The sequence below is a fragment of the Homo sapiens genome, chromosome 20 (genome assembly GCF_000001405.40).
Source record: "Homo sapiens chromosome 20, GRCh38.p14 Primary Assembly".
Classification (NCBI taxonomy): domain Eukaryota; kingdom Metazoa; phylum Chordata; class Mammalia; order Primates; family Hominidae; genus Homo; species Homo sapiens.
This window is the reverse complement of record NC_000020.11, coordinates 11,708,009-11,730,898: the sequence shown is the minus strand read 5'-3', so window position 1 is coordinate 11,730,898 and position 22,890 is coordinate 11,708,009. Positions and strand designations below refer to the sequence as shown.

Genomic DNA, 22,890 nt, shown 5'->3' with positions numbered 1-22,890 from the left:
GTTGTTCAATGTGCATATGGTTGTATGGTTTTGAGTGAGTTTCTTAATCTTGAATTCTAATTTGATTGGACTGAGGTCTGAGAGACTGTTGGTTATGATTTTAGTTCTTTTGTATTTGCTGAGGAGTGTTTTATTTCCAATTATTTCCAATTATTGAAATTTATTTCCAATTTTAGAGGAAGTGTCATGTGGCACCAAGAAGAATGCATATTCTCTTGTTTTGGGATAGACAGTTCTGTAAATATCTTATCAGGTCTACTTGATCCAGAGCTGAGTTCAGGTCCTGAATATCCTTATTAATTTTCTGTCTTGATGATCTGTCTAATATTGACAGTGGGGTGTTAGAGTTTCCTACTATTATTGTGCAGGAGTCTAAGTCTCTTTGTAGGTCTCTAAGAATTTGTTTTATAAGTCTGGGTGCTCCTGTGTTGGGTGCATATATATTTAGGATAGTTAGCTCATCTTGTTGAATTGAACCCTTTACCGTTATGTAATGCTTTTCTTTGTCTTTTGTGATCTTTGTTGGTTTAAAGTCTATTTTGACATAAACTAGGATTGCAACCCCTGCTTTTTTCTGTTTTCCATTTGCTTGATAAAATTTCCTCCATATCTTTATTTTGAGCCTATGTGTGTCTTTGCATGTGAGATGGGTCTCTTGAATACAGCACACCAGTGGGTCTTGACTCTATCCAGCCTGCCATTCTGTGTCTTTTAATTGGGGCATTTATCCCATATACATTTAAGGTTAATATTGTTATGTGTGAATTTGATCCTGTCATCATGATTCTAGCTGGTTATTTTGCACATTTGTTTATGTAGTTGCTTCATAGTGTCATTGGTCTGTGAACGTCAGTGTGCATTTGCAATGGCTGGTAATAGTTTTCCTTTTGCATATTTAATGCTTCCTTCAGGAGCTTTGCAAGGCAGGCCTGGTGGTGACAAATTCCCTCAGCATTTGCTTGTTGAAAAGAATTTTCTTTCTCTTTCACATATGAAGCTTAATTTGTCCAGAAGTGAAATTCTGGGTTGGAAATTCTTTTCTGTAAGAACATTGAGTATTGGCACCCAATATTTTGTGGCTTTTAGGGTTTCTGCTGAGAGGTTCACTGTTAGTCTGATGGGCTTCCCTTTGTAGGTGACCTGGCCTTTCTCTCTGGCTGCCCCTGCATTTTTTTTCTTTCATTTTGACTTTGGAGAATCTGATGATTATGTGTTTTGGGATTCATCTTCTCATGGAGTATCTTAATGGGGTTCTCTGGATTTCCTGAATTTGAATGTTGGCCTGTCTTGCTGTGTTGGGGAAATTATCCTGGATGATATCCTATAGTATGTTTTCCAACTTGGTCCCATTCTACCTGTCTCTTTCAGGTACCCCAGTCAGTCATAGGTTCAGTCTTTTACGCAATCCCACATTTCTCAGAGGTTTTGCTTGATCCTTTTCATTCTTTTTTCTCTAGCCTTGTATGCCTGTCTTATTTCAGCAAGATAGTCTTTAAGATTCTTTTCTCCACTTGGTCTATTCAGCTATTGACACTTGTGATTGCATTGTGAAGTTCTCAAATTGTGTTTTTCAGCTCCATCAGGTAATTTATGTTCCTCTTTAAACTGGTTATTCTGGTTATCAGCATCTGTAACGTCTTATCATCGTTCTTAGCTTCTTTGCACTGGGGTAGGACATGTTCCTTTAGCTCAGCAAAGTTCATTATTACCCATCTTCTGAAGCCTACTTATGTCAAATCATCCACCTCAGCCTCAGCCCAGTTCTGTGCCCTTGCTGGAGGGGTGTTGCAATATTTTGGAGGAGAAGAGGAACTATGGCTTTTTGAGTTCTCAGCATTTTTGCATTGATTCTTTCTTATCTTTGTGGGTTTATATACCTTCAAACTTTGAGGCTGCTTACCTTTGGATGGTTTTTTTTTGTGGGTCATTTTATTGATGTTGTTGTTGTTGCTTTCTATTTCTTTGTTTTTCTTTTAGCAGTCAGGCCTCTCTTCTGTAGCACCGCTGAAGTTTGCTGGGAGTCAACTCCAGACCTTATTTGCCTGAGTCCCTTCTTAACATGGAGGTATCACCAGTGGAGGCTAGAGAACAGCAAAGATGGCAGCCTTCTTCTTCTTCTGGGAGCTCTGTCCCAGAGGCACACTGACCTATTGCCAGCCAGAACACCCCTGTATGAGGTAAGTGGCAACCCCTGTTGGAAGGTCTCACCCATCAGGAGGAATAGGATCAAGGACCCACTTAAGGAAGCAGTCTGGGCTACCCCTTGGCAGAGTGGGTGCACTGCATTGGGAGGAACCCCCCTCATCCAGACTGTTCGGACTCTCCCGAGCCAGCAGGCAGGAGAGACTAAGTTGGCTGAACCGTGGAGACCACAGCTGCCTCTTCCCACAGGGGCTCCATCCCAGGGAGATAAGAGTTCTGTCTGTATACCCCTGGCTGGAGTTGCCGGAATTTCTGCAGGGCAGTCTTGCCCAGTGATGAGGGGTAGATTTGAGTCCCACTTAAAGAAGCAGTCTGGCCATGATCTGCCACAGCCACTGTGCTGCACTGTGGGGAATTCCTCCTGATCCGAACCACCCAGTCCCCTGGCACCGGCAGGAGAAAATGATTGACTGGGGCTGCAGTGATGGTGGCTGCCACTCCCCCAGGGGAACTCAGTCATCTTAGGCAGTCTCCAGCCTGCTGCCACTGACTGGTGGGGTTTCCAAGCCAGTGGGTCTTAGCTAGTGGGAGTGGGGCCCACTGAGCAATACTTCTTGCATGCCACATATTCTGCAGAGTAAATTAAAGCAGGAGAGTAGGAGGTTGGACATTGAGATGTTTAGATTGTTGTCTCTGTGATAGGTTTTGAGAGACTCGGGTCTAAGATGTCTTTCCCATTAGCCTGAATATTCTCAGACCCATGGACTATGGACTGTCACTTTTGAGCCTTATGCTAAAGCTGGAGCAAAGCTGGTTTTAATTATGACTCTGGCCAGCTGCTGCCAGTGTGCTCAGTGAGTGGGAGTCCCACCCAGGCCTCATGATTATGGCTGGCCAACATACCCACCCATTCCCAGTCCCCTTTCATCCAGTTATATGCCTGAAAGAAAAGGCTTAGGACCTGCCAGGGTGCCACCAAAATTCTGGGAGGAGGAGGAGAGACCATTGATTTTACTAGGACATTGACAGAAGAGGAAGAAGGAAAATGAAGTGAAGTTACACAATTTAAATATCTGATGCATTATTAATTACAGAGTACTTGATAAAAATATGGACAGTTTTGGAGTGCAGAAGACTGATGGGTCATCATTCTATGGGTAGCAGAAGTTTTTAGACTTAGCAGGAGAACTTTTTTTGCATCAGAATTTTGTAAGGAATCTCACAAGTAAGACAGGTAAACAGAATTCTGTCTGAACTGATGATGAAGCATCTGGAGACTCACATGCTCAGATTTCCCCTTGAACGACCCTCACTTCCCATCAGACACCTCATGGGACCTCAGAGCCCTGTGGAACCAGTTTGAGAAATAGCCCATATACTTGAAATGTTTGGTTAAAAAGATCCTAGTGCACAGGGGGCAGTAGTGAGCATCTGGCTATAATGTGGGAGTGGAGGCAGAGGGAAAACAGAGGGAATGTGCCCACATGGTGCCATGGCCATTCACCAATCCTATGGTTGGGGGTTGGTATACGTGCATACCATATTGGGCCTGTTTATACATGTGGCCCTCATCAGACAAGTACTTTTTCATAGGAGCCACAGGAACATCTATGACAAGTTGGCTCAGGAGGGCACATGAGAAGCAACACTTCCAAAGTCCAGCAGAATGGTTTTCTGGCAGCTTTTCTAGACTTTAGAATGGATGTGTGATTAGTTACTGACGGAGTTTCTTCTTTCTCCAATCTCTGATTTGCTGTTAGTGAACAAAGAATCATAACCCAAGAAGATATAAATATGGACAGAGTAGCAATCAAAGCCAAGACGTTACCTAAAAGAGTTTCAAAGCTCACAAGCTCACTGCTCAACCACTTCTGAGGCACTGATTTAGGTGTTGTCCCACTGGCTTGACTGAGGATAACAGAATGTCACCCCCCACAGTCTCCTTTGAGAATGGTCAGCTTAAGAAATTTATTTATTTAGTGATTTATTCTTCCTATTTTATTTCTTTCTACTTCAAAGGCAGTAGCATTTAGTTGCAATGTGTGAACATTTGCGTCAGAGCATCTTAGTAATTAAAAAAGGTGTTTTAAAATATAGAGTAAGACTTCCAGGAAAAGGTGGTGGAGCAATGGCTCCTTTCCATTTTGTCTCCTGAAATCTACTGACATTTCTCTCTGATATCTGCTTAGGATGTGAGAATAGAGTATAAATTAAGAGACCTGCAACTAGATACACTGCTGAAGACTGTGACTAAAGACAATAGAGAATATTAGCTAAAGATAAATAAATTTGGACTAATTCAGAGAAAGATGCCAAAAATAATTACAGAAACATTCAAATTTTCAGCAGGATGTAGTGTTCTCTGAAAACATAGTAGAGGTTCCTCTTGAAATAATAGAGAAATGGAATGTGGTGGTAGTCAGAAAAGGAGAACAGATCCCTGAAATATGCTACTTGGCTTAGCATAGCCGTGGGGCAGAGGGCTAAAGATAGTTTGAAGACTTGATCTTTATGGTTGTTCCTTTTCACGGCCTGCATCCCTGCTCTAGAGAACTGGCTTGGAGCCCAGGCAGTATGGATTCACAAGAGGAAGTGGCCCCCAGCTTGGCAGCTGTTCATCAGGGTCCACTGAACAGAATGATACTCACTGGATGTTTGTGGGGAGCTATGCATGTATGCATTGCGGGGAGACATTTAAAGCTGATAGGTGATTCTTTGGGCTAGACTGTAGAAAATTAGCAGAAAAGTATTACAAAACAACACCATCATTTTCATACTACTGGCTGGCCCAATTTGCTATGTATTCACCTAATAAGCCACTGCACATTCTCCACCTCATAAACCTGTCTGGATGTTTTTCAATAAATTGAATGGTGTAAGAGAGTTGCCCTCATTCAAAGATTAGGAAGAAACCAAAAAATCTCTAACATTCAAACCAGGCAAATATTCATCCCATGTTAATTAAGCAAATATTTGTGCATAGGCACTGAACCAAGCACTGTCTGAGGCACAGGGAATACACCATGAATTAGACTGAGAAATCGTGGCACTTCCTTCCAAAAAGGTAAGAGTGTTCTATACAAAGAACAGGCGAGGGCTGCTGATGGGTAAGTTACTTCATGTAACAGAATCCCTTCAAGCAAATTCCGTCTACAAACTTAAAGAAATTACAGAGAGCAAGGGAAGTAACATACATTTATAGATGAGATCTAACATTAGATAATAGCTAGAAGGTCAGCTAATAGCACTCAACATGGGAAAACAAAACAAACGCCATGATAGGAAGATGTAGCAGAGTAGAGGCCAGAGATTGGCCTTCCCTGGGGAAGGGGGTCCCCTGGGGATTTCCACATCCTGGACATAAACTATATGGGAGAGAGAGCCTTAGTGGGGTTGTCACAGATCTTCCCAGAAGAGTGAGGAGCCCTCAACAGAAAGAGCCCTGGAGTGCACTGCTGGATTCCCCAAGACTGGGGAAGAAGCACTGATTGAGCAGGCGTGTTCACTTGTGAAAATTCGCCGAGCTGTGTTTTCATGATTTACGTACTTTTCTATTTGTGTGTTTTACATCAATAGAAAGTTTACTAAAAACAATTGAGGTGTATAGACAATGATGAGAGTAAAATAAAATTCTTGGCAGAGAGAACAACATGAAAAAGCATAATTCAATTGCTACGTTTGTATGTGTGCTGAGAGACAGAAGGGAGAGACGCAGAGAGAAAGAGGGGACGAAGGTGGCAGGAGACAGAAATGCAGTTTCTTAGTCTTAGATAATGCATAAAACTCATGGAAACCTATGCTTACCAAATAGAAAGTGATAGGCATAGACCTTCACTTCACAAGTTTTAAAAGTTGCATGAAATACAATGACTATGACAAATGGGAGTTGTCAGGTTGAATTTCTTCCATGATAAACCACTGGTTCAAACTAATCCACACTTTCAGGTAATGAGAACCTGCACCTCTCAAGGTAACCTAGAAGAGATAATACACAACTATATTTTGTGTTTGGTATTGTCATGGAAAATACCCTAGATGCCTGATTGCAAAGAATAATGAATCTCACTTATTAATTCATTTATTCCAGAAATACTTGTTGAGCCTCTACTGTGGGCCAGACCATGTAGTAGATGCAAAGATATATATCAGAGAAGATATTTCCAAGGATAATTTATGGTAATAGAGAATACAGGTAAAGAAAAAAGGAGAGCAACAAATCTCAGTACCAGGAATAAAGGCTATCTGAACAACAGGAATGCAAATATGGATAATGGTAAAATTAGGGACCAGCTAGAAGGATACAGGATGCTTTTGAGAGAGGATGAGACTAAGAGAATGACATTTTGAGAGTATTGCATTTATTTTAGAATGCTAAATTCAATGTGTCCTGTTGCCTTGGAGTTAGACGGTGTTGCTACACATTGACAGAGGACAAGGATGACAGCCAGGGAGCTATCACCACATCTCACTCTTATCACTTCAGTGTAAACGGGCCTGACTTCTCAACTGCCAGAACCTCTCTTTCTTGCTGGATGCTTTTTTTTTCTGGCTGTTGATGCCTTCTCTGCCTACACATCTTCACAGCAGGCTGGAAGTGCCAGGGAATTAACCAACTCTCACCCAAAGCTGCGCTCAGTTTATGCTAGATAGAGTGTAGAAAATGGTGTATTTATACATAGATGGGTGTATAAGTGATCCAGCCCTCTCACTCCCAGGTGGGACAACTCTAAGACCTGTGCTGTACACTGACTCCCAGAGTTTTTGCCCACAGTGATAACTGTATTGAAAAACACACCTTGCACTGGCTTTCTTATTTTCCCTGTATCTCTTTTTTCCTCTCTCCAATCTGTGTTTCTTGAGATAACCTCGCTAACTAATCTTGCATTCACATCCCCTCTTGCTTCTACAGGTACCCAAACTAAGAAGCCGATGAAACTAGTTTTTCAGCCCTTAGCACATCACCCATAAATGGAGACAAGGTGATCAAGAGATGCTGAGGAGGGCTGATAGTGGAGAGAATTGTTGGAAAGCATGAATTTCCCCAACCACAGAAGAAAGGTAGGGGGGAAGTTAAAGGAGGGGTTGGTTATGGAGCTCCACTTGGAAAACCTGACATGTGCCTATGGAGTTTAAAGGCGGGAGGCACAGGGACTGATGCCTGACACCTAACTGGAGAAGCAAGAGGGTGAGAGATTGAATGGAATTGACAATAGGTGCAGAGGACGTTTCCTGTGGGCCAAGCATGCATCCACAGGACGGAAATGATATGTAGGTTATTGGAGTTGCAAAAAGATTGTGATCCTTCTCCGCTCTGTATCTACACCCTTGCAATGTCTCTCTGCAGCTTCTCCTGTTAAGAGATACAGTCTCTTTCCTCACCCCTTGGAAAGGCCTTGAGACCTCCTTTAGCCAATAGAATTTGGCAGTAACCGCATTGCACCAGTTTCAAGTCTGTGCCTTAAGATGCTTCACACACTGATTCTTTCACAAAGCCTGCCCGTTGCCACATTAAAAAGAATGAGCAAGTCTGCTGCATGATTTGAGATCACATAAACCAGATTTACTATTGGATATATAGTTGTTTCTTCTTTTTCTTTACTTTTGCTGTTTATTCTTTTTCTCTCTTTGCTAGCTTAGGAAAGCCTACTTTATTCTCCCTTGTCATTGATGGTTAATTTTTATTATCTTGATCAACCCAGTTGCCCCAGCCAAACTCCTGGACAAGCAAGAGCTGACATGCAAATGCCCAATGAGAGCCATAGAACTCCCAACCCAGCCAAACCCAGCCTAAATTGCTGATCCACAGCTTGTGAGCTGAATAATTTGTCATTATTATAAACTACTAATTTGAGAGTGGTTTGTTACACAGCAAACACTTGCTAATAGAGTGAACATTTGTTATTGATTATGTTACATATTTTTTCTCTCTGGAAATTAAGACTATTTTTACAGTGATCTGAAAAGCACGTGATCCACGTAAGAGACTGTCTAGGTTTGAGGAAAATAGGAATCTCAGAAGTAGATTCCCACTCCTATCAGTTAGGTCCCTACCAGTTATATAAACTGTTAGGCAACTTCTAAAATCTCACTAAGTTCTAAGCACTTTTACTAGATCCTAAATCTCTTGAGGCTGAAAATCATGGCTGACTTTTCTTCCTGGTGAGATAATATAATTAGCTCTATTCTGAATGTCTCTCTCTTTCTCTGCGCCTGTGTGTGTGTGTGTGTGTGAATGTCTTTGATAATTAAAAAGTAGTGAAAAACTTCCTGTCACTTAGCTTGTCAAAATAATTCATTTTACTTTTCATATAAAACTATCACCTGGAGTATAACATTTACTTTTCAGTCTAAAATCTTGAAAATTGCTACTTAAAAAACAGAAAAAAGAACCCTGTGAGATTACACTACAATGAATGTGAAAGTGCTCTGAAATATTTAAGGAGACGAGAGCTGCGACGCATGGCCTCAATGGGGTGCATGCAAGAGATGCTCCAGGAACTTGGAAGAAAAGTATGAAAATAAGAGTAGAGAATCAGCGCATACTGAGCTCTCCTCTCAGGCACACAGTAGGCCAGTCAAACTAAATGACTCTCGATTGCAGAAAAATGTGCCAATTCAAGGTAGGGGAGCTGGGCATAGAAGAGACGGTGCTTGGTTAAAACGAGATATATAAAAAGGAGAGTAATATGGTGAAATAAGGGTAGGAATTGTGAAAGTCGGTGAGCTAGAGATATTTTGCTAAAAAAAGATTCATTTTTATCTGTTGCCATAGAGTTAGACATAGTATTTTCTCACCACAATTTTAATCTCTTGTGTTTGTGGCTATGTCTTTCTCATTCCTTGTTCCATCTGCTTTTGCTTTTGTTCGAAATTTTCTTTGTCAGAATCATGAGATACTTCACCTATTTTATTAATGTTTCAAAGGACAAGCTTTTGAAATCATTTGTCTCTTCTTTTTTCCCCATTTTAAAATATTTTAAAATGTCCTTAACTGTTATTTAATTTTGCTGTTCATCTTTCAGTTTGGAGATGAAAAATTACTTTTTAAACCAGTTATCTCTTTTAATAATGAAGACAATTAAGGCTATAAATTTTCCTCTAATGATAGCTTTTGATTTGTTTTGTAGGTTTTATTATGGATGACGTATTCCTTTTCATTGACCTTTGGACAGGTTCTAATTTCCCTTTTAATTTCCTTTTTGATCAAAGAATATCTAGAAGCATGCTCCTTCATTGTGTCAAGACATTAAGATTTTTTGTTATCATTTATTTCTAGTTTTATTAGCTTATTATCAGAGAACGTAGTCTATAAAAGCTATTCACTTACACACTTTCCTGTTTTACTTTTTCCCCAGTGGCGACATATATGACCAACTTTTATAAATATTCTAGGAGTATTTTTAAAAGTACTTTCAAGGGATAAGGTATAATTCATATCAAGTTGTTTATTAATTGTATTTTTTATTTTCTCTGTTTTCTATTTTTTAACTAGATCTTTCAGTTCTGAGAGAAGGATATTGATGTTTTCATCATAATTATATTTTTAGCAAGTTCTCCTTGCATTTCAAATAAAATTGCTTTAAGCTTTGAGGTCCTATGGTGATCGCCTCACATCAGTTATGACTGCTGTATATCTCTAATTGTGCCATTTTTCACTATATCATGTCCCTTTGGTGCCTGCCTGGTTCTTCCACCCTTAAATTCTACTTTGTTGATATTGTCACTTTTGGTTCCCTTTTGTTTCCATTTTTCCAATATCTTTTTGCTCACTTCATTTATATTTATGTTATTTTAAATTTAATTTAAGTATTTCTTATATATAACATCTAGCTGTGTTTTGTTTGTCAAAGAAATGGGTTGCCTTTGCCTTTTCATGATGAAATCTTATTCTTTTACATTTTATATGGTGACTGATATACTTGCTATATGACTGTTATCTGATTTTAGATTTACTTTTGGACATATAGCTGTTTCTTCTTTTTCTGTGTTTTACTTGTGCAGTTTATTCTTTTTCTCTCTTTGCTAGCTTGGGAAAGCCTACTTTTTTCTCCCTTGTTATTGATGGTTAATTTTTATTATCTTGATCTAAATGATCAGATATCAGTATCTACTATCCTTTAAAAAGGAGACTTCTCCCTCCTCCTCAGAAAAAAAAAAAAAAAAAAACCAGCAGTTTTCTTTCTACTTTGCTTCATTCCAATAAAATGAAATTTTAAAAAGATACTTCCACTCTTCTTCCTTCCTTTTGTAATTCCTCTAAAGAGATGCTGAAATGTTTTTGCTATTTCCCTGGTAACCATTTCTCCTAGGCTTGACAGATGAGATCTAGTGTTTATTAACTTCCTAAAAAAATTAATGTTTTCTTAATTTTATTTCTTTATTTTCTTAATTATTGTCATTAATTTTTAATATTATACTTTGCAATATAACCTATTCTTATTCAATTATGAACATTGTTCATGTTTACCTATATGGCTGAATAACTATATATGAGCTTGTATAAATATTTCATACAAATATATACACATATATGTATGTGCAACCTGTGTATACATAATCATTGCTCACTCATCTTTTCAGGTTTCTGAATTTTTTCATTTGTCATTGGGATAGAGTCTTTGTAGTACTTTTCTCGGTTGTCGTATTGAAGTGTTATTCTTTCCAAATTATTTTCTCTCCTCAAGTAGTTTTTGTTTACCCTGACAGAGTAATGATATGTTGGCTGGATATAAGTTGATTCTGTTCCATTGTCCATTTTCTTCCACTGTTGGTGGTATTATTTTATAGTGAATTCCTTCTTTCTGACTTTAGATGTTCTTTTTCTTTAGAGATCAGGAATTTTTTCATGATGTACATATTGATGTGTCTTTTTTTGAAATCCAGCTTGAATCTTAGTGAATATTTTAAATTTGCTACTTCAGGTTTTCATTATCTCTTGGAATTATTCTTCTAGTATTTATTGTCGGTTTTTCTCTATGCATTCCTTTTTGTTCTTCTGCAACTACTATTACTCACATTTTAGGCCTCTGATTCCATTCTGTGGATCTCTCATGACATCTGTCTCATGGTATATGCTGTCTGCTTGAGAAGTTCTTATACTTGACCTTCCAAGCCTGCTGATGTGAATCTCAGCAGCCCCATTTTCTCTTTGAATGAATCTGCTGAATAAGATATACTCAAATCTCCTTTAAAATACCTTTAATTTATTTTCTAATTCAGGGTTTTTTTTTCTGCTCTAATAATTCCATTTTGCTGAGTGTAAGTCCTAACAGTTCCACTTGATCTTCTCTCTGGCTAATGGTTTCCCATAGTTCGCTTGTTATTTTCCTTTGCTGGCCCATTGGAATTCTAGTGTGGTGGCGAGAGTATCCTAGCAGGGATCCTACAGTCATGGAAAGCACAGGCACCTCTATCCCCCTGAGCTGCAGTGTAGAATCAGGCAGGCTGGCACCTGCTGCCTCTCTTATCTCCCTGTAGTCTCTCTCCCGTAAGGAAGGAAATACTCAGCTTACTTGTTCATCTCTCATTTAGTGTTTTGGGAATTTGGCACGTTCATACTGAATTGACATCAGTACTCCCTTAAGGGACCACAGATCTTTGTATGCTCCATCTTCCCCCAGAATTTTCTGTTTTTGGGTTCTTAAGTAGGTTATGATGCTGTTTATCATTTTACTTGTTCAAATTATGAGGTCAAAAGACCTACACCATTCTCTATGCCCAGGATCCCAGCAGAAGCCAGAGCTTCACTACATTCATTTGCTATTTGTCTTAGGAGAGGCAGACTGATTAGAGTTGGTAGCAGCAATCAAGGCACCATGCTCAGAATGCCATGTTCCCACACTTCCTCCCAGTGGGTTTGAATGACAGGTACAATCAGCCATTTTAGGCATATGAGCCATTTGTGCTAGCCAGTTCTTTTCAAATTTCAATGTGCATATGGCTCCCCTGTGGATCTTATTAAAATACAAATGCTCCTTCAGTAGGTCTAAGGTAGGGCCCCAAATTCTGCATTTCTAGCACTTTCAGGGAGGCACTATGGGCCCACCAACTTGATACTGAAAGTAACAAGGTGTTAGAACCATGAAACAGATGGCCTTTATTTGACCAGTCAAGGCAGATGATAGTATTAGAAATGTAAACAAAAAAGAGTATAGTATAGCAAATTGAGATCAGCAGAATCTGATCATCAACAGTAACGTTAGGCAAAACATTAGGGTCTAGTAGAGCAGTGCAAAGCTTAATAAGCCTACAGAAATTTTATAATAATTTTTCATAAATGTATTCCTTATTTCCCCAATCTCTTTGTTTTATCCTCTTTTTGAACAAAGTTTGCTCCTTTTAATCTATTATAGAGGGTTTCTTGGATTAAACAAGAAAAACAGGTAATTCTCTTGGTGGAGTTACATGGTACATGAAATTTCAAGACTCTCTGGTTATTTATTTACTTATTTATTCAGTAAATATTTATTGAGCATCTCTTATGTGCCAGACCTTACTCTAAGTGTTAGAACGATGTTTGACTAGATTGCCTGTGCAATGGATCTTTGTCTGTTTTTAACGGATTCATTGATTTGCGATTTAGTATTCATCCTCCCTGCTTCTTAAATGTAACCCAATTTTCTTTTGGAAAATTATCTTTTTTTCCAATTTGGTATAGTCATGCCATGATGTTAAGCATTGCATCCTGTCCTCCTACAAAAACCTTGAAGTACTCTCTGAAGGCTTTTCCTCTACATCAGTATTTTAGAAATTTGGCTAATTATTAAATCACTTTGGGGGTTTTAAAAATATCAAATGCTTTGGTTCTACCTCCAGGTAGTCTGATTTGATTAACCTGTTGTGTGGCCTAAGTATCAGGGTTTTAGAGCCCCTAACAAGTGATTTTAATGTGCAGCTGGAGTTAGACAGCCAATTCCCTAGATCTCTACTCTCATTGATCCAGTATAGTCGAGCAGTGAGGCTGTGACCTCAGCCTGGCTAGCTGGACTCTCTACCCGAACTTTGAATCCGAAGAGCAAATGGAATAGCATTCTGTAGCAGCCCTCAAACAAGGCTGCACAGCATTGTCTGCTCTGTACTCTCTCCATATCTGTTGTTCCAATCCTCTGAGCTTCCCTGTACCTTATCAATAAATACCACTTTTGCTGAGTATGTTAATCTGGGTTCTCCAGACAGAAACAAGAGAATATACTGATGTAGATATAGAAATATACATATGAGAGAGAATTTATTAAGGGAATTGGCTCATGGCATTAGGGTGGCTGAGAAGTCCCACAACAAGCCATCAGCAAGTTGGAGACCCTGGGATGCCAGTGGCATGGCTCAGTCCAAGTCCAAAGGCCTCAGAACCAGGGAAGCTGATGGTATAACTCAGTCTGAGGCCAAAGGCCTGATAACCTGCTGGGGGACTGATGTAAATCTTGGAGTCCAAAGGCAAGGGAGCCTGGAATTGTGTAAGGACAGGAGAGGAAGAGTGTATCCCAGCTCCAGCAGATAGATTGACACATTTGTCTTTTCTCTGTTTTCGTTCTCTTGGGGCCTCCATCAGATTGGAGGGTACCTGCCCACTTTGAGAGTGGCTCTTCTCTACCTACTCCACTCAGACTCATGTGCCAATCTCTCCTGGAAACACCCTCACAGAAACACCTCAAGATAATTCTTTAACAGGTTTCTAGGTATTACTTATTCAGTCAAGCTGACATCTAAAATTAACTGTCACACTGGGATCAGCTGGGAAGAGTCATTTTCTGTTTCTTACAGCCAATGAATCTCAACTGAGCAAACTGATGAGCTTTTTGTCACTCTAAATATCTGTTGAGGGCTCTCGATCTGCTAGATCAATCACAGTCTCAGCCCTCGGTATCAAACTCCTTACCACACATAGGAAAACTCGAGTCAGAGGGCAAGAGAGTCACCCAAGCTCCATTACAGGTCAGTGACTAAGAATTCTCATTGTGCCTGCATGTCTGTTTCTTTGCTTGTTTATCCATTACCATACCAAAAAAAAAAAAAAATCTTCCTTTTGCTTATTTGTTTTTAGGAAAAATTTAAAGATTACTGAAAGGGTGCTGCAAAATTGAATAGACAAGTCAGAATGCATATGACTAAGCAGAAAAGCTGGAAAACATTCCATATTACCAAAGAAGATCACAAGCATCTGCTCACAGCAGAAATATGCAGAACTCCCTGTCTCTTTACACGTTTGCATGGAGACCAAAGTGAAAATGAGATGGAAAAGATGTAGACTATCACAACTTGCTATCTGGCATTTACTATCCCTCCTACACACTCACTTGAGGTTTCTGGTCAGCTTTCCTAGAAGCACTTGATTTATTGAAGGCAAGTTCTCAGGACAAACCTGCAGGGGCAGAGAAGAGCAGAGGAAGGAGTTGAATAGGAAGTGGTCCCAGCTGGAGTCTAGCTTCAGTCTGACCACAAGGGGAGCTTTGGAGGGTGACTAAAACCACACAGTTGAAGCAAGATGGCTGGCCTTTTGTAGCCCATATCAATTATTCATTGGCAGTCTCTCAGGCATTTCTAGAACAGGCATATTCACTGGAGAAGGAGGCAGCCATTAGTTCTTAGCAGCCAATACTTGCAGTAGTTGAGAGATGGGCATACGTGCTGGTGAAGGTGATCCAATAGCAACTTCTACACCTGGATAAATACTGTCAATTGCACTGCTCCTCAGTATTTTCATCTATAAAATGCAACAGAAGGCTGGGTGTGGTGGCTTACGCCTGTAATCCCCGCACTTTGGGAGGCCGAGACAGGTGGATCACCTGAGGTCAGGAGTTTGAGACCAGCCTAACATGGTGAAACCCTGTCTCTACTAAAAATACGAAAATTAGCCAGGCATGGTGGCGGGCGCCTGTAATCCCAGCTACTCAGGAGGTTGAGACACAAGGATCTTTTGAACCCGGGAGGCGGAGGTTGCAGTGAGCCGAGAGTGCGCTACTGTACTCCAGCCTGCATATGTCAGAAAAATGCCACTTTTGTGCACTCGCTACTGCTTGAAAATCATCTTTTTCTTGAAACTTTTATTTTAGAGAAAATGCAAAGTCTTGGAAAGGAATACTACCTTGAATGCTTTAGTGTATGCCTATTTAACAAAAGGGGTATTTATTGATAAGCTGAGAGTTGAGTGATCTGGATTCTAGTTCTGCTTGTGTTGCTCTTCAGCAAAGCAACTTTGGATAAGTGGTTTATGATTTCCGGGATTCACCATCTTTATTTACAAGAGTTGGGGGTTAGAGTCAATTATTTCTGAGTTACTTTTGAATTCTAAAATCTTGTTAGGTGCTGATTTGATTTCTCCTCTAATGCAGGGAGGAGGCAGAGATAATTGTTGTTTGTTTGCAAGGAACAAGTTTTCATCTTGCAGCCTTAATACAAAAGCAAGAGAAAGAAATGTAATAGCTCGGTGGTAACAGCAGCTTGGCTTTGTTTGGATTCAGGGTCTCTAATACGACATATTAGATGTGTCAATGGAATGTGATTTATTTTGCTTCATAACATTTGGGAACAGATATTTGGTATTTCATCCAAGGAAAGCAATTTGCAGAAACCTTTTAGAAGGTGGCTGGAGCATCAGTAATTGGTGCCATTTCTTTAGGCCAACATTTCCTTAAAGCTGCACAATCTTTCATTTTAATCATCCCTCTCAGCAGGCTCCTTTTAGGGCTCTGGAGCAGGGCACCCACCCCTCAGAAATTAGGTTCTATTTTTAAAGTCCACCAGCCAACAAACCCCCTATTAATCGTGTGAAATCTGCTCAGAGCTGCTCTTCCGGGTTCTCCACCTCCTCCCCCTACTCTCTCTCTGCACAGCCTCCCCTGAAGATATTTTTAGCTCTTAGCAGCTACATCCTTGAGAATTTCTAGGCCTGTGCTACACTTTGTGCTCAAGTAAACATTCTAGAGATTCCAGTCCTTATTCCTAATATTTTTGAAAAGATTAAGAATGCCACTCCTTAATACAATTCAGTATTAATCAATAATCAATCTGAACTTCAAAGTCTTCATCTATCTCAGAATCACTCTTTCTTACAAAGAGATAAATACCTTATTTATTCAAAGTTACTTAGTCTTTTCCTCATAAGGATCAAGTGTGACTTTGACCCATTGTTCCAGACAATCTCTCTCCAAGGCAGCCTTGGAATTATTTTGGGGATGGGAAAATCTGGGTGCTCCCTCTGCATACATTTTGCCTAAGGGTTCAATTTTGAATCAGGAAATACAGATGTCTCTTTAAGACCACTGTACTAAAACATAGCAGTTATAGTTTAAGAACCCATTATGGTATCCTGGGAAGGAAAAATCATCAAAATATTTTCAAAGCACCTATAGGAATTCCAATAAATAACATATAGATTGTAAGAATTTGGCTTCGCAAATATGATCAGCAGTATTTAATCATCCATTTTTCACAGCCAAACTCATATTGTTTAGCATGTTATTAGTGGTTTTGATTTGGGGTTGCAGTCTTTTTAAATGCTTATGAATAGGTTATAGAAGTATATGGGAAAAGGCCGGGCACGGTGGCTCACGCCTGTAATCCCAGCACTTTGAGAGGCCAAGGCAGGCGGATCACAAGGGCAGGAGACTGAGACCACGGTAAAACCCCATCTCCACTAAAAAAAAAAAAAATACAAAAAATTAGCTGGGCGCAGTGGCAGGTGCCTGTAGTCCCAGCTACTCGGGAGGCTGAGGCAGGAGAATGGCGTGAACCCGGGAGGCGGAGCTTGCAGTGAGCCAAGATCACGCCACTGCACTCCAGCCTGGGCAACAGAGCGAGACTCCGTCTCCAAAAAAAAAAGAAGCATATGGGAAAATACAAATTCCAGGAAAACAGCAAACAGTGAAAAGGATCTCCCTGAGGTCAAGATGAGGGAGATCCCTCCCACATCTGCTTCCCAATTTCTCAAAATACACGTGTATATGTATATGTGTGTGTCTATATATATATAGAATATTATACATATTGTGTGACACATATTTATTCATATACTTTATATGTGCACATATATAAAGTGATTCTTGTTGCTATGCCACAAATGTTTTGCACATTACTTTGCACCTTCCTTTTTTTTAATTTTATTTTTTCATTAAACATTGTATCTTGGAGCATATTTCATATCAAACCATAAAGATCTGTCTCTTTTTTAATATCATGTTTCGTTGTTCGGAGGAATGAGAATTTATTTAGCAAATCCTGATAATTGGTTTCTAATTAGGAAGGGATACTGAGAGAGAATGAGGAGCTCTTGTTCTGTACAGAATATTGGGCTAATTACTCTGGTTACTTAGTGGCTATTTTGTGAGTTTCTAAGAATCCTATTCTTGGTTCAGCCGTAGCCTCTTCCTTTTCCCTTGCTCTTTCCACTCCCTTTTCTCTCAAAACCTTCAGCAAACCCAGGTGATTTCTGCCTAGCGATATTGGTAAACAAACAAACAAACAAACACACACACAGACACAACCCCCCCCCAAAACTAAAAACAGTTTGAAATGCCTTTCAAAGGTGAGTTCTCCATAAATAAATAAGTTTCCAACGGAAATATCATGATGGTGTGGCTAAGGTGTGCTTGTTCCCCTTGGTTATGTTTTCCAAAGCCTGTTTTTGACTGGTACAAAAATCTCCCATTTGTTCTTCTTGTTCAGAGCCTGTGGTTTATTTTCTCTTGTCTGGACACTGTTCCATGAACCCCAGGAGAGAGGCATCATCACAGAAGCCTTGGCATTTGTCAAACGATGAGCAGCGTGAGGTGATGGAGCCAGGCACCCAGCAGGGACCCAGTAGATGCTGCATGGGCTGGCTGGCAGGTGGCCCTGATGACTTTGGGAGTTGGGGAATCTGCACTGACTGCCTGTTTGTCTCCTGTCTGGGGATGAAGTGGGAGGACTCTTCAGTGAAAAAGCACAGCTAACTCCAAAGTCACATTTTCCAAAGCAGCCTTGCCATTTACCTGCTTTGGTTTACAGAAAGAAACAAGGCTTCATCTTTGATCCTATGTTCCTCAATGCGTTGTAGCTTTTGAGTCTTATCTGAACTGATGTCCAGACTGACACATTTTGGGGAAGAGCATCCCCAGCATGCTGACAGATGGCTGGCACACCTGTCTTCCTGAGTCTTGGTTCCAAAAACAATACAGCATTTTGCTTGTTCAAGATTTCTGTGTAAAAATTTACACGTTTTCTAGAGAATATGCAGAAAGTGAAAACTGTAAATGTAAACTAGTATAATTTGAAAACAATGTATTCATATTGATTGATTAAATTATATAGACTATGGAGTGTTATTTCCTTTAATACTTCTTTTTTCTTCTTTTTAGAAACAGGGTTTTGCTTCTCGTTGCTGAGGCAGGTCTCCAACTCCCGAGTTCAAGCAATCCTCCCACCTCAGCCTCCCAAAGTGTTAGGATTACAGGCATGAGCCACTGCGCTCAGCCTTTTTTCATATTTTTAAAATGACAACTGTTTTAGGTTAAGTTCTTAGAATTCAAAATGTGGATTTTTGTAGAGATGTGCTGAGAGAGGCTTTTCGGGAGGACCCTGTATGGGAGTGAAGGAAGCAGGATGGGGCAGGGGAGGAAGCCTGGAAAGGACATAGGCTCATATGGAATCTGGCTTCAGCCTGATCCCACTAAAAAGTTCTGGAACATAAAACGTACTGCATAGTTGATCCCCCTGAGGTCAGGGCCTGGGCTTTACTACCCTTATTTTCATCACTGGACCCTGGAGAGAGGAAAACTTCAAGGTTTTTCCAGGGGCGGGGCTCTTTGGAGAACAATTCTCCTGAGAAGAGGGTATTTTCAAACTGTTAGTAGCCAACACTCAAAGCGACTGGGAGATGGCTGCACCAGCCTCATCTGTGAAATCTGGGAGGGACCCTCAGCATCACTTCAACCCACAGCCTAAAGCTAAGTACTTTGCATTATTACCTACATATCCATAGCTACATTTTAAAGAAAGTATTCCCAAATAATGTTTATTTGTCCACTTGTGGTTCAATTCAAATGATTTGCTATATATGCTATTCTAGTGTATCCAGATTCACACATACAAAACAGTAGTCATGGTCTACTATTAGGTGGTGACCTGCAGTTTCAAAATGTTGATTTATATGTAAATACTACTTAAAAGCTAATCACGTTTAAATGATTTAATTAGATTTTTAATCCTGCTGGATTTTCAGTAATACCTCCAGTGTTGCATAACTGGAGGGACCATATAATTGATCATCCAAACTGCGATGCTTTTATCTACAGTGATGCCAGGGCAAGAGTCATTCACCAGAGCTGTCCTGGGAAAACCAGGATGCAGATGCATGCGACAGCAAGCCACTAGAGGGATTTGTCGGTAAACCCCTATGGAGAAGTTATTGTGCACATTGAGGTGGTGGAAGATGTGACACAAAATGAAGTCTCTGCCATTGGGGAAACAGATAACGAGTCAAATGCAATCACATAAACAGGAAAACAGCAACTGTGATAAGTGCTACAAAGGAGATGTGTGTTTTCAAGAGAGAGATTTCACAAAATTAGAGAAAGCTTCCTAGAGCAAGCAATACTTGAGCCCTACTGAGAGCCAAAGGATCTAACCAGATAAAAGGCATAGGAAGGGCCATTTTAGTCTGAAGCAGGGTGAGCATGAGAGAATGAAAGGTGTGCTCTTTCATTTATTTCATCTACATTTTAAAAAATTAATATCAATGTTCTAGAAGCTGGAGTACATCAGGGAACATTACAGAGTGATGAGTTTCCTTTCCTCACAGAGCTTATATTCTGCGTTGTGTATGTAGAGGTGGTCAACAGGTAGTAAAACAGAAAATAAATAGCATAATGTTTCATAGCGACAGTTGTCACAAAGAAAATAAATTTGGTCATATTTGTGAAAGAAACTATCATTTCCCTGTTATGCAGTCTTAGCACCCTTTTTAAATTTCATTTGACCATATACATAAGAGTTTATTTCTATGCTTGTTATTCTGTTTCATTGATCTCTAAGTATTTAGACCAGTGCTATAATGTTTTGATTACTGTAGCTTTGTAATACATTTTGAAGTCAGAAAGTGTAAGGCCTCCAGCTTCGTTTTTCTTTCTCAGATTGCTTTGGCTATGCAAGGCAAGTTTTGAGATCCCATATATATTCCAGGATGATTTTTTTTTCCTATTTCTGTAAAAATCATGGAATTTTGATGGAGATTTAGATAAGATTTGCATTGAATCTGTAGATAATACAAACTTTTAATCATATTAAGTTGCTTTGGGAGGTATGCATATTTTAATTCTATTAAGTCTTTTACTCCATGAACATGGGATGTGTTTCCATTTATTTGTATCCTTAATTTCTTTTAGTAATGTTTTGTAGTTTTCTGTGTACAAGTCTTTAGCCTTTTTGGTTAATTTTGGTCCTAAGTATTTTATTCCTTTTGCTGCTATTTTTAATGAGATTGTTATCTTAATTTCCTTTTTGAATTGTTCATTGTTGGTATATAGAAATGCAACTTATTTTTGTATATTGACTTTGTATCTTGCAATTTTGCTACATTTGTTAGTTCTAATTGTGTGTGGGTGTGTATAATCCTTAGAGTTTTCTAACTACTGTGAGCAGAGTTAAATTTGCTTCTTCCTTTGCAATTTGGTTGTCTTCCATTTCTTTTTCTTATCTAGTTGTTCTGTCTAGAACTTTCAGTATTATATTGAATAAAAGTTGTGAGAGTGGGCATCCTTGTTTTATTCATCTTAGAGGGAAACATTTTACTTTATCACCATAGAGTATAATGTTAGCTGTGGGATTTTCATATATGGCGTTTATTACATTGAAGTAACTTTTTTCTTCTCCTGATTTTTTGAGTGTTTTTATCATGAAAGGGCATTAAGTTTGTCAAATACTTTTTTGTATCAATTGAGATAATTACATAAGTTTTGACCTTTGTTCTGTTAATGTAGTATATTACATTGATCAATTTTTACATGTTGGAACAACCTTGCATTCCAGGAATTAAAAAATTCCATACAATTATGGTGTTGGTCCTTTTAATGTGTTATCAAGTTTGGTTTGCTAGTATTTTATTTAAGATTTTTGCATCAATATTCATCAGGAACATTGGTCTGTTGTTTTCTTTTCTTGCAGCATTTTTCATTTGGGTATCAAGGTTATGCTATTCTTTTTTTTTTTTTTTTTTTTTTGAGACGGAGTCTCCTTCTGTCACCCAGGCTGGAGTGCAGTGGCGCCATCTCGGCTCACTGCAAGCTCCGCCTCCCGGGTTCACGCCATTCTCCTGCCTCAGCCTGCTGAGTAGCTGGGAGTACAGGTGCCCGCCACCAAGCCCGGCTAATTTTTTGTATTTTTAGTAGAGATGGGGTTTCACCGTGTTAGCCAGGATGGTCTCAATCTCCTGACCTCGTGATCCACCCGCCTCGGCCTCCCAAAGTGCTGGGATGACAGGCATGAGCCACTGCGCCCAGCCCAAGTTTATGCTATTCTTATAAGTTTGGAAGTGTTCCCTTCTCTTTGACATTTTGGAAGAGTTTGAGAAGGATTAACATTAATTCTTTAAATGTTTAACAGAATTCTCCAGTGAAAATATCTGGTCCTGGGCCTTTCTTTGTTGGGAGATTTTTGGTTAGTGATTCGATTTCTTTACAAGCTATAGGTCTGTTCAGATATTTTATTCATCATGAGTTAGTTGTGGTATGTTGTATATGTCTATGCATGTATCAATTTCTTCTAGCTCATCCAATTTATTGGTATATAATTGTTGATAGTAGTCTCTTATGATCTTTTTTATTTCTGTGGCATCAGTTATGTCTCTTCTTATTTATGATTTTTGTTATTTAATCTTTCTCTCTTTTTTCTTAGTCTAACTGAGAATTTGTCAATTTTGTTGATCTTTAATTAAAAGCAACTATTAGTTTTATTGATTTTTTCTATTGCTTTTTTATTCTCCATTTTATTTGTTTCTGCTTTAATCTTTATTATTTTCTTCCTTATAATAACTTTGTGTTTTATTTTTTTTTCTGTTTCCAGTCACTTGAAGTATAAAGGTAAGTCGTTGACTTGAAATCTTTCTTATTAATGTAGGTATCTACTGCTGTAAACTTTCCACAGTACTGCATTTGTTGCATACCATGTTTTTATATGTTGTATTATTGTAGCAGGATGAGCCGCAGACAAAACCTCTCAGACACAGAGTTGTAGAAGGAAGGGCTTTATTCAGCTGGGAGCATCGGCAAGCTACTGCCTTAAAATCCGAGCTCTTCGAGTGCACAATTTCTGTCCCTTTTAAGGGCTCACAACACTAACGATTACACATGAAAGGGTTGTGATTGATTTGAGCAAGCAAGGGTACGTGACGGGCTGCATGCTCCGTTGGTCAGACAGAAACAGAACAGGGCAGGGAGTTTCACAATGTTCTTCTATACAATGTCTGGAATCTATGAATAACATCTGTTTCTAAGTCATGAGTTGATTTTTAACTACTAGGTTTAGGCCAGGTAAGCCCAGGTCTGGTTTTGGGCCTGGTGCCGGGCTGCCTCTCTTTGATTTCACTTCTTTGTTTTTTTCTTAAAACAGGTACTGAGTATAAAACAATATAAAACAATATGAGAGGGTCTCTCTCGTCCCTCATTATAATTTTCATTTATCTTAAAGCATTTCTAATTTCCCTTGTTTTTTTTGTTTTGTTTTGTTTTTGTTTTTGTTTGTTTGTTTGTTTTCAGATAGAGTCTCACTCTGTCACCCAGG

General features: G+C 39.3%; 1 long non-coding RNA gene across 2 annotated transcripts, besides 2 other annotated features; it reads left to right on the top strand.

The window, feature by feature from the left end:
• The first annotated feature begins 1,980 nt into the window (after positions 1-1,980).
• LOC105372530 (uncharacterized) lies at positions 1,981-18,393 on the top strand. 2 transcript variants are annotated; one of them, XR_937263.3, is made up of 3 exons: positions 1,981-2,177; positions 7,052-7,200; positions 13,903-14,073. It is a non-coding gene; the product is annotated as an uncharacterized LOC105372530 (long non-coding RNA). The 2 variants fall into 2 exon arrangements; XR_937264.2 differs by lacking the exon at positions 13,903-14,073 and adding an exon at positions 17,803-18,393 and having other exon boundaries at positions 1,990-2,177.
• Positions 11,464-11,758: a silencer, noted in NCBI's record as "tiled region #1197; HepG2 Repressive non-DNase unmatched - State 22:ReprW". NCBI's record gives its function as "represses a minimal TATA promoter and a strong SV40 promoter by Sharpr-MPRA in HepG2 cells {active_cell/tissue: HepG2}" and the evidence as "EXISTENCE:reporter gene assay evidence [ECO:0000049][PMID:27701403]".
• Positions 14,343-14,844: an enhancer, noted in NCBI's record as "OCT4-NANOG hESC enhancer chr20:11696703-11697204 (GRCh37/hg19 assembly coordinates)". NCBI's record gives its function as "activates a minimal SCP1, AML or CMV promoter by ChIP-STARR-seq in primed H9 embryonic stem cells {active_cell/tissue: H9 hESC(primed)}" and the evidence as "EXISTENCE:reporter gene assay evidence [ECO:0000049][PMID:30033119]".
• Positions 18,394-22,890: the final 4,497 nt, after the last annotated feature.